Raw genomic sequence first — 12,014 nt, forward strand, 5'->3', positions numbered from 1 at the left:
AATACCTGAGTACTGACTGTCCTCTGACCCTCCTGCCAATTCAGGATGTGGTTCTTGTTAGAGATGAATTTGTTCAAAAACCACGAGTGCCCATGTTGGTAAACATTCCTTTAACTGGAAGAAAACAGAACATCAATAGAAAGGTAAGCCTGAGTAGAGTCCCAGTAAGAATGTGGCTATTTTCTCACCTCTGCTAGAGCTGGACCTGCAGAGTGTGTCACTGGCAGCTGTGAGTACTTTTAGCTAGGGAGCTTGTGGCCTAGGTAAGCCTGCCAAGACAGGCTGCACATGCACTTGGGCTCTGTGTAGCTACTGCCATTCAGCTTAAGTTTTGTATCAGTAGCTAAGTAGAGTCAGAGCTAGATCAGGCCAAATAGACTGGGAGTGAGAAAGTAGGAGAGTGAATCTGTTTAGCTTCTTCCTGTCTGTTTGTAACCCATTTGAAATGTTGCACAAATTTCGTTTCCTTCCCCAGAGATAACCACTGTTACAAATTTGAATATATTCTCCCAGACAAATTCTTTGTGTACTTAAAAATACATAAAAGTGTATAAATACAGTTTGGGTTTTCTTTATCTTTACTTTTAAAATTTATAATTCTTCTTTAGTTCTTTTCTTATCAGTGTATATTTAGGGTTGCCCCCCTCATAATTTTGTGTAGTATTCCATATCCATAATATAGTTGTAACAATATATTTAGCCAGTTCCCATTTGGTGCCCAACTAGATGTTTTTCTCTTTTAGAAACAACACTGCAGTGAATATCTTCGTGTCCTGTATGTTTGAGTATTTTTGTAGGACCAGACACTTAGAAGTGAAATTGCTAGTTGCAAAGATATGTGCAGTTATACTTTTGATAGATACTGCCAAGTTGTTCTTATGTTTCTTTTATCATATAGCAGTGTCTGAGAATCGAATAGATATCATTCGAAGTTGGAAGGAAGAGGATTCCACATAGAGAAGTGTGCATACAAGCATGGAGGTAGCAGAGCCTGGTGGGGATGGTGAGGAAAAAGGGAGTAAAGAATCTGGTGTAGAGTATGGGAAGCAGAAGGGTCTTGTGAAGGTGAGCCCAAAAGGGTAGGTTAGATCAGACAAAAAAGTATTTTTTAATGTTTTGCTTAGAACTTTAAACTTGAAGAAACAGTGGAGCCCTTTGTAAAGGTTTTAAAACTAGAGCTTTATTTCAAGAAAATAGCTAGTGATAATTGTGAAGGCTAGGCTTTTGAGGATAGGTGATTGACTATAGGACTGTTACAGTGATCCTGTGCTGTAAGGAAGAACTTAATGAAGGCCGAGGCATTAGAAATAAAAGAAAGGCATCAAACTCAAGTAGTGTTACAGAGTTAAAATCAGTTTGTAAGACTTGGCTTAGGATGGGAAGGAAAATGGTTGAATGTTGTGGCTGTCTGGGAGGATGAGTAGTGCCACTTAACGAAGATAGAAATAGGTTCGATTTATAAAACAAAGGAAATATTTAGAAAATTTGTCAAAATATAAGGAAAAAAGTAAGTTACTATCCACTATTTGTGTATCTCATCAGGTGTGTTCAGTTTATTTATTGTAGCAAAATATACATAAATAAAATTTACCATTTAAACAATTTTAAATTGTACAGTTTAGTGGTAGTAAGTACATTCACGGTGCTATGCAACTATCACTACCATCCATCTCCACAGCTGTTTTCATCTGCCTGAACTGAAACTCCTAACCCATTAAATAATAACTCCCCATTGCCCCCAGGTCCCTGGTAACCACCATTCTTTTTGTCTCTATGAATTTGACTACTCTAGGCACTTCATGTAAGTGGAATCATGTAGTGTTTGTCTTTTTGCGACTGGCTTACTTCACTTACCATAATGTCTTCAAGGTTCATCCATGTAGCGTTGTCAGAATTTTGTTTCTTTTTAAAGCAGAATAGTATTCCATTCTATGCATATACCACATTTAAAATCCACTCATAAGTAACTTGGGTTACTTATGCTCGGGTGTTTTTTGTATGTTTTTGAGGGGGTATTCGTGTGTGTGTGTGTGTGTGTGTGTGTGTGTGTATTTAATGATCAGAGAGTGAATTGCCTAGTTAATAAAGAATGAATATAATAAAATTGAGTTTGATAAAACTCTACAAACCACTGCACTCTTATATAGATCCATTGTTACAAAATAGTGTTGGTTGTTAAAAGGATGATTACAGAAGACCATACGTTGTACTGTGCAAATATATCATGACCATTGGAAAAATAGCATAAAATATGTATCCTACTAGTAGTAAGTACCATAATGGTCAAAGGTTTAGTATAAAGTTAATAGAAGACCTGAGATTCTTAATATATGGTAATTGGATTACCATAAGGAAGTGTAATAGGCACAAAATTACGTGCACTTTGAAGTGTCCAAAACAGTGAAGGTGTAATATATGTTCTAGTCTTTGAGTTCCCACACAGGTGACTTTACTAACATTTCTTTTTGTATTTTAAAAATAGTCCACTCAGTCCAGGTGCAGTGCCTCATGCCTATAAGCCCAGCAGTTTGGGAGGCCAAGGTAGGAGGATCACTTGAGGCCAGGGGTTTGAGACCAGCCTGGCAGCATAGCAAGACCCCATCTCTGCAAAAAAAAAAAAAAAAAAAAAAAGTTAGTGGGGTACGTGGTGCATGCCTATAGTTCCAGCTACTCAGGAGGCTGAGGCATGAGGATTACTTGAGCCCAGGAGGTTGAGGCTGCAGTGAGCCATAATTGTGCCACTGCACTACAGCCTGGGTAACAAAGCAAGATCTTGTCTCTTAAAAAAAAAAAAAAGTCCATTCATTTATTCAGGTTTGAGGCAGTGGGTTCACTGCTGCCCATTATCCCAGTTCACTGTGTCATCATTATGTTCCAGATATTGTTCTAAGTGCCTTACATGTATTAAGTCTTTTCCCCCTTCCACTGTTTTTATCCCAGTTTTTCAAAAGGAGAAAGTAAGTCACCTAGAAGTTAAGTAACTTGCCTGAAGTCTCATAGCTAGTGAGTAGAGGATCTAGGAATCAGATCCAGACAATCTTCTCTTAAGCTTTGCTGCCACTCTTAACACCTTTGTCAAGGTGCTGTCATAAGTGCTGGAGGTACAGGAATGTACACATCTGAAAATTTTTCTTGATCTCACGGAACGTACATATTTATATTTATTAAATGTATTTTAAAATTTCTGTCCTGATTAAAATGTATAAATAGACATACAAAAATATGTAGGAAAATACTGTATGTAGTTAGGTAATCATATGTCATTAACATATTACCATGTTATTTCAGTAATATTTAACGAACGTTTCCATTGTATGGGTGTGTCATAATTTAACCATTCCCCTGTGTTGGAAAGAAATACCCAAACCTTTCCTAATAATCAGTATTGCAATGACCATTATAACACCTTCATTTTTTTTTTTTTTTTTTTTAACATTTTGTTGTATTTACTTTATGGAGCGGCTGTGTGTCCAGTATGTCCGACCCTCTTCCTCGGTTCTGGGCTCGGGTGGGGGTTCCCTTGGCAAACTGCAGGCCCCTGGCTGGGACGCCCCTGCTGCCGGCGCCGGCAGCCTCGAGGCCTTCCCTGCTTGCGCGGTGCGCTCCTCGGGGTCGGCACAGGCATAGCCCCGGGGGACGTGAGGTTCCCGAGTGCTCTCCCACCCCGCCGACAGGAGGGATGGTGGCCGAGCGGGCCGGGGCGGGCGTGGCGTGGGTGTGCCAGGAGCTCCGCGGTTGCCGCGAAGCGAGCTGGAGCTGACCCTCGGCGTCCCGTGAGCACCCCGCGGATCAACACCTTCATTGTTGTCGTTTCAGATTATTATATGAGGCTGTTTAGAAAAACATTAGTTATTGGCATCTGTTTCTAACTACTTTCCTGAAGTTTATGCTTTAGCAGTAGTTTGCTAGCAGTTATTTGATCTCATAATTTCATAAATATTGTGTGTTGTAAATTCAGTAGTCAAAACCAAAACAAAATAATCAGAATTTAGTCATCAAAAAAGTGGGCCTTATTTATGTTAATTTAATTTTTCTGCTTTCAGAGCCTTTGCTCTCCTTGATACTGGCATCACAGTGTATTTTTAGTGTATTAATATATACAAAGTTTTGAATTATAAATGTGAATTTTGATGTAAATACAATTCTCAAAATATTAATATAATCCACCAAATAAGTTAATTTTAAAATGGAAAATTGGATATACCAAAAATCATTTTAGATTCTTAATATCATTTAGCGGTGAATGTGTGTTTTTCCCTATCCTGCCTGGAAAAGCCATTCCTAAATATTTTCTTCCATTCATTCAACAAATATTTGTGTACCTACTGTGTTTAATGGCATATCAGATATACCTGCCATCATGAACTTTCTATATTTAGCTTATCAATCATATATTCGAAGTACAGTCGTAACATTTTCACATATTTAGTAGTTTCTAGTGCCTATTGTGTTGCGGGCTTTGGTGGTAAAGTGATGATAGGTTTACAGAGATGAAAGACAAAAGTTATACCCTTGGGACCTCACAGCATAAAGGAAGGAGACTGTAGTAACTAGCATGGAAGCGGAATGTTTTCTAGACAGTTTCATAGGTGCTTTTTTTTTTTTTTTTGAGACAGAGTCTCACTTTGTCACCCAGGCTGGAGTGTAGTTGTGTGATCTCAGCTCACTGCAACCTCTGCTTCCCAGGTCCTGCCTCAGCCTCCTGAGTAGCTGGGACTACAGGTGCGCGTCACTATGACCAGCTAATGTTTGGGTTTTTTTTATTTTTTTTTTCTTTTGGTATTTTTAGTAGAGATAGGGTTTCACCATGTTGGCCAGGCTGGTCTCAAACTCCTGACCTCAGGTGATCCACCCACCTTGGCCTCCCAAAGTGCTGGGATTATAGGCGTGAGCCACCGCTCCCGGCCTCATAGGGTTTTTAATACACATTACTGAAGATAAAAATAGAGTGCAACTAGATAAAATAAAGATTTGTAGTTCTGTGAAGGATACATTTGTCTGGAGGAGCAGAGTGTAGGAAACAATGTGATATCCTTTCAGGAGTGAGTGTGTGTGCGTGTGTGTGTGTGTGTGTGTGTCACATTCAGAGCCATTAGGTTGTTTTAAGGAGGAATGGGAAGGGGCCAGAGGGATGGACTAATGGGCTAAAATCATCAGTTTGAAAAGACGGTTGTGGCTACAGGCAGAGATTTCACTGGATCAGGTCTCTTGTTTCTGTTCTTCATTAGTTTCTTCCCACCTACTCTGGTAGAGTTCTTTCACTATATATAATTCTGTCGCCATTATCAGCTTTCTGAAGAGTGACCTACATTTTATAGTCTGCATTCCCCACAATCTACAGTAAATCTAAATCTTAAAAATACATAATTTTTTCTGACAGTGGATTGAAAGATTTTCATCAGTTACATCTACTCTTTCAACCAGGAAATAGTTTCATTTTCTCCTTAGCACTTACTTTTTAGCCCTAGCTGGGAAACTTTCATCTTTATTCTTTACACAAGCTGTTCCACATGCCTAGAGTGGAACAGCTTGTGTAAAGCTGTTTTCATCTACGTCTTTCCTAGGAAGCTCTTTTTATGGCTTGCGTGTATTAAAAATTTGCCTTATCAGTCATCTTAAAGTAATTTAAATTGCTTTATGACAGTAAATGAATATATTTATTGATCAGTTATCAGTTTTACTTTGTGTAGCTTGAGTGTTCTTTCTTGTAGCTACATGATGCCACACTTGTGGTAAAAGCAGTGTGAATTCTTAGTAGATTTAAAATGTGATACATACACTTCTTACTATACCATTTCTAAAAATGAAATATTTTTTATGTTTTTATGTAAGAAAGCTGGGGTGGGGTTAGGAGGAAAGGAACAGATACCTGCCAAGTCAATCAGAGAATGGCGGTAAAACTTGATGGTTAGCCGTCTGTCTGTTCATTTTTATGAATGCCACTATAGAAGTAATCTTTAGAAACTGGAGCTGTTTTCAGTTTAATGACGTCCATGGAATTAACCGGATTCATTAATAACGGCATCAGGAAGAGCATTGTTTGAAGGATCCTCTGCCTAGTCTATTAATCAGTTTCCTTTTAGACAGGTGTACAGGTGATTTCTGGCCCTCATTCACAGAATAGAATAGTGGTCGTTGAGAAGCAGACCTAGCACCTAGCAAGTCTTCAGACCAGTCTTTTAAGTAATTTTTATTCCCTGAGAAGAAAATTGAAGAAACAATTGGGGCAAAGAGATTTGTGGGGTTTTACTAGAAAGATCTCGATAAAGCAAGGACTGTCACTCTATTCCTCATTCATATGAGGGTTCACATTAAAAATGACAGTGTTACACAGGGTAGCAGCAGCTTTTTTGTTTTTCTTAGTCATGGCAGCAGTTAACACAGTGCACTAGCAGTTTAACATACCAACACTTAAGGCCTTATTTTTTGTTTTTGTTTTTAAGTCATTGAAATTATGAGACTATCATTCAAATGGAAGCATTATAGTTCTTCGGAACCATTATGATCTCAAAACGAAAGGAGAATGATACAGATACACTGGCTGAGGTGTTTTGAGGTGCATCGAAGTGTTCCAAGCTGTGACTTACCTTAACATGTTCTTGAAGTACCATGGCGTGGATTAAAAGGTATGCTTTAGAAATCTCCCAGTGACCCCAAGGTCATGGATAGAATGAACACTCATGATTCTGTATTTAGTTAATGCATATTTAAGATATTCTGTATTTAGTTATTACATATTTAAGTTATATAACTTTTGATTATAGATGTGGTTATGGATTTATGGTAGTATTTTTTGTTACAAAAACCCATGGATTTTCTTTTTCCTTTATGATACATGGTTGTGGAGGATACTGTAAGTATTTTCCCTAAGTTTTTATAGTAATGGGCTGTAATTTCATTCACCAAATAGTTTAGGGATTATTCATGTATTACTCTGTAATTATCTTTTACATCATAGACTAGTTCTCTACAGAACTGTCATTTTATGGTAGCCTGTACAGGAAATAGTTGGATGAAGTCTTCAGTTGGGTTACTAATTTGATCAAACAAAACAATTTTTATTTGGGCCATTTAGTACAGTTTTTTTCTTTTCCAAAGAATTTTCACTTAAAGGATAATGAGTTATTTATTTATTTTTTATTTTTATTTCTTTTTGAGATGGAGTCTTGCTCTGTCGTCTGAGCTGGAGTGCAGTGGCACTATCTCGGCTCAGTGCAACCTCCACTTCCTGGGTTCAACCAATTCTTCTGCCTCAGCTTCCTGAGTAGCTGGAACTATAGGCACTCACCACTATACCTGGCTAGTTTTCGTATTTTTAGTAGAGACAGGGTTTCACCATATTGGCCAGGCCGGTCTCGAACTCCTGACCTCGTGATCCACCTGCTTCGGCCTCCGAAAGTGCTGGGACTACAGGCGTGAGCCACTGTGCCCAGCCTATTATTTATTTTTTTGTTGAGACCGATTCTTGCTCTGTTGTCCGGGCTGGAGTGCAGTGGCACGATCTTGGCTCACTGCAGCCTCTGCCTCCTGGGTTCAAGCAATTCTCCTGTCTCAGCCTTCCGAGTAGCTGGGACTACAGGTGCCCGCCACCACGCCCTGCTCATTTTTGTATTTTTAGTAGAGACGGGTTGTCACCATATTTGTCAGGCTGGTCTCGAACTCCTGACCTCAGGTGATCTGCCTGCCTCAGCATCCCAAAGTGCTGGGATTACAGGCATGAGCCACCACACCTGGCCAAAGATGAGTAATTTAAAAAATTAATATTGTGATTATTGTTTATTTAACAATGTATGTATGCAGTTATTCATGTGTTTGTGGTATATAGTTTTGCTGTTACTTGTGGTTACTAGTATAGTAATTCTAGTCTTCGTAATACCTACTTAATCAAAAACCTTTTAAGTTTTTATTTTTATAAAATTTTGAGTGATGTAATGAAAATTTTCTTAATTATATGAAATCTTGGAAACCTGATTTTCATACTGTGTGTTTGGTATTAAATGTTCTTTTTAAAGAGTAGTAGAAGTGAGTGAAGAATGCTGAATTCATTAATGTTACATCAGATTCAGAACTCTCTTTTAGGTAATAAAAGAAACAATATTGGGAAGACAGGTTTAAATAAATCATGGGTAGATAAGTGTAATAGAAATACACTGGTATAGTCCATGATTTTTGTCAGTTAGTCTACCTTAATGTTAAAATCCTTTTGGTATGTTAGCAGTTATATTCTTAATGGAATTTAGTTGTTAAAGTAAGATGAAACTGCTTTATATTAAACTCTAGTCTATAACAGTGATCTAATCAAGTTCCAAGATAGAATCATCTGCTTATTAGCCAAGGCAATCAATTAGTTCAATCAGGAATTTTATGTCTGATGGGACAGAATAGTATCCACCCTCCAAAAAGATATTCTTGGACATAATGGTTTCAGGATAGTGTTCAATGTGTTGTTTACAAAATTGTTTCTTTATAATACTTGCTATCTCAACTTTAACATTTCTTTTTGGGGTAGCACTTGAGAATCCATTTGTTTTGTTTTAACTCCGCAGAGGTTTTTGATGTACAGCTAGATTGGGAAGTCCTGTTCTATTTGGAAGACTTTTTTTTTTTTTTCTTTTTCATTTTCTTTTTTTTTTTTTTTTCTTGAAATGGAGTCTTGCTCTGTTGCTCAGGCTGGAGTGCAATTGTGTGATCTCGGCTCACTGCAACCTCTACCTCCCGGTTCAAGCAATTCTCCTGCCTCAGCCTCCCCAGTAGCTGGGATTACAGGCGCGAGCCACCATGCCCAGCTAATTTTTTGTATTTTTAGTAGAGACGGGGTTTCGCTATGTTGGCCAGGCTGGTCTCGAACTCCTGATCTGCCCATGTCGGCCTCCCGAAGTGCTGGGATTATAGGTGTGAGCCACCGTGCCCGGCCTGGAAGTCTTTATAACTTTGTGGTTAAGAGCTTACTTAGATCCTGGGGTCACCTCACCTGCATTTCAAATCTAATCCTTCCCTTATTATTGTGACAAGTTCTAAGAGTGACTTGAAGAAACCCATAAATTTATATATTAGAAAAATAAGCATATTGTTATATAATTATATAATATGATTTATATATAGATAATTATATATATACACACAGTGCAGGTTTGGGCATGTAGGAAGCCAGTGTCAGATTAAGTGTTGATGATTATTAAATGCCAGATTAGATTTTTTTTTGTAGAGGGTACGCTATTACATTTTTCTTACCCTGACTGAGTCTTGTACTCTTCTATGCTATTCCTAGAGTAAAATAAGCCATCACTATTTGACTGATGTTTTCAATTTTTTGGGCTTTTTCTCATCAGTGAAAGAAGGTGGCCACTGGAGTCTGCTACTTTATCCATGATCATCTTATCCTGCTGGGGTGATGTGTGTGTTTTCTAAAGCTGTGTTTTTCAAATTGCAGGCTTCAGCACATTCATGAGTGGGTCAAGAAATAAATTCAGTGGGTTATGACCAGCATTAAAGCATGTATTAGCATAGAAAATAAAATATCAGTGCATTGAATATAGAAAAGAATGTATTTCTTGAAACTTCTGTTTAGTTTTATCAAAAGATTGAAATAAAATATATCCACATTTATGTGGATATTGTTTAGTTCCACTAAGTGTATGTTTCCCTTAGTCATAGACATCCTTTAAAAGTGGTATTAGTTTTATATTATTTTGCCTTCTGAGAGGAAGTGACCAGCATAAGTTTCAGTATGCTTTCTAATGGTATGCCATATCCTCTACATTACTTTCAAGGGTCCTCCTACCATCTTTTACTTTTATTTTTTGAAGTAAAGGTTGTTAGAGAGTATCTAAGGAATAGAGAGTAGAAGAACATAGCAGCAGTGGCTTTTGAGTAACATTAACCAAGGCTGTTTTATTAAGTAGAGTGATGTAGTATCTTGCCCCTTGGCATGTATTGTGATGGTTATCAACTCATAGATCAGTGGTTTTCAAACTGCCAGTGGTAGCACACTCTGGAATCAATTTAGCAAGTTGCTGCCTCCCGTGAACCCCCTACCCCCTAATGAAACAGAAAAGAACAAAATAGAAAATATTATGAATGTATCACACAATATATACCTTTCTAAAACTTCTGTGTCAGTGGCATGTGTATGTATGGGATTGCAGAGACCTAATTTCTAGTGATTATCAACTGGAAAACTATGAAACTCAGTCTAATAAATTCATATTGCCAAGCTGACCTCAGCCACAAAAGCTTCAGATATTTAAGACAAATATTACCAGATCAGTAGTTTTTTTTTGTTTTGTTTTGTTTTGTTTTGTTTATCTCTGATGGTAGAGAACAGTTAGTTTGCTATAAAACTTTGGTTTTGTTTTTTTGTTGCTATATTGTTTTGTGATGTGTATGTGTTTGTTTGCCCTGGTAAATATATATGTGTATTTATTTTTATTTATTTTTTTGAGACCAAGTCTTGCTCTGTCACCCAGGCTGGAGGACAGTGACATGATCTCAGCTCTACTGCAACCTCCGCCTCCTGGATTCAAGTGATTCTTCTGCCCCAGCCTCCTGAGTAGCTGGGACTACAGGCGCGTGCCATCATGCCTAATTTTTTGTATTTTTAGTAGAGACGGGGTTTCACCGTGTTAGCCAGGATGGCCTCAATCTCCTGAAATCGTGATCTGCCTGCCTCGGCTTCCCAAAGTGCTGGGATTACAGGCATGAGCCACCGCCCCCAGTCTGTCTTGGTAAATATTTAAAGGTTCATACATAGGAAATTTACAATACATCCTAGTTGTGGAAGGATTTACCCTTGCTTTGCATTGATGTAAGAGACTCATGCAGTTTAAAAAAAAATACAAATAGGCCGGGCGTCGTGTTTCACGCCTGTAATCCCAGCACTTTGGGAGTCCGAGGCAGGTGGATCACAAGGTCACCAGTTTGAGACCAGCCTGGCCAATATGGTGAAACCTCATCTCTACTAAAAATACAAAAATTAGCCAGGCATGGTGGCAGGCGCCTGTAATCCCAGCTACTCGGGAGGCTGAGGCAGGAGAATCTCTTGAACCTTGGAGGTGGAGGTTGCAGTGAGCTGAGGTCGCGCCACTGCACTTCAGCCTGGGCGACAGTTGTGAGACTCTGTTTCAAAAAAATAAATTAATTAATAAAATAAAAAGAAAATACAAATAAAATGATGATGCACGCTAAAACCTATCAGTTCAGGCCAAGTGCAGTTGCTCACGCCTGTAATCCCAGCACTTTGGGAAGCCGAGGTGGGCAGACCACCTGGGGTCAGGAGTTCAAGACCAGCCTGGCCAACATGGGAAAACCCCATCTCACTAGAAATCCAAAAATTAACCAGATGCAGTTAATCTCAACTACTTGGGAGGCTGAGGCAGGAGAATTACTGGAATCTAGCACACGGAGGTTGCAGTGAGCCAAGATCATGGCACTACACTCCAGCCTGGGCAACAGAGCAAGACTCTTGTCTCAAAAAAATAAAAAATAAAACCTCTCAGTTTCACTTTTTATATGTTAGGACTTGTTTGTATAATAGGTGCTTCTTCAATTCAGAAGGCAAATATAAAATTTAAAGTTGCAAAAAATTAAGCATAAATCCAATACATTACAAATATTGAAGGCAGTTAAATGTTCAAATGTTAAAGCTTCTGTTTTTGTGAAGATTTCAGTAACATTTTAAATTTTATTTTTCTTGGATTAGTTCCTGTGCCTACTGCAGTGTCCTCATAACAGCAGATGTTTGCTTTATAGATTTATTGAGGATGATCACAGAGTTTCTGGTGAATATTTTAAAATAAATAAGGCTTCAAAGCAGGGTGGTATCAGCATATGTATATTTTAAGATTGTCTAAAATATAGTTTCTTTCTCCTTAGAAAACAGTGAAAAGATGAAGACTTCTGGTAAATTGTTTCACAGCAGTGGAATTTGTACATTAGTTTTCTACACTTGGGAGTTGAAAAATGGAAGAATTATTTGCCAAAAGAGGAGGACAAAAGATAATATGCATAATTCATCT

At 38.2% G+C, this 12,014-nt stretch overlaps 1 protein-coding gene across 18 annotated transcripts in view; it reads left to right on the forward strand.

Annotated features, from left to right (window-relative positions):
* RBPJ (recombination signal binding protein for immunoglobulin kappa J region) overlaps positions 1-12,014 on the forward strand; it is a 329,683-nt gene that overhangs the window by 250,554 nt on the left and 67,115 nt on the right. For 8 of the 18 annotated variants that reach the window (NM_001374401.1, NM_001379407.1, NM_001379406.1 and 5 more), the window contains one exon: positions 6,444-6,626. The exons of the other annotated variants lie outside the window; for them this stretch is intronic. In NM_001374401.1, the coding sequence (NP_001361330.1) occupies positions 6,610-6,626 (17 nt within the window). In that variant the 5' untranslated portion in view covers positions 6,444-6,609. The remainder of the gene's footprint in view (positions 1-6,443; positions 6,627-12,014) is intronic. 18 annotated transcript variants of the gene reach the window in all.

Source organism: Homo sapiens, chromosome 4 (genome assembly GCF_000001405.40).
Source record: "Homo sapiens chromosome 4, GRCh38.p14 Primary Assembly".
Classification (NCBI taxonomy): Eukaryota; Metazoa; Chordata; class Mammalia; order Primates; family Hominidae; genus Homo; species Homo sapiens.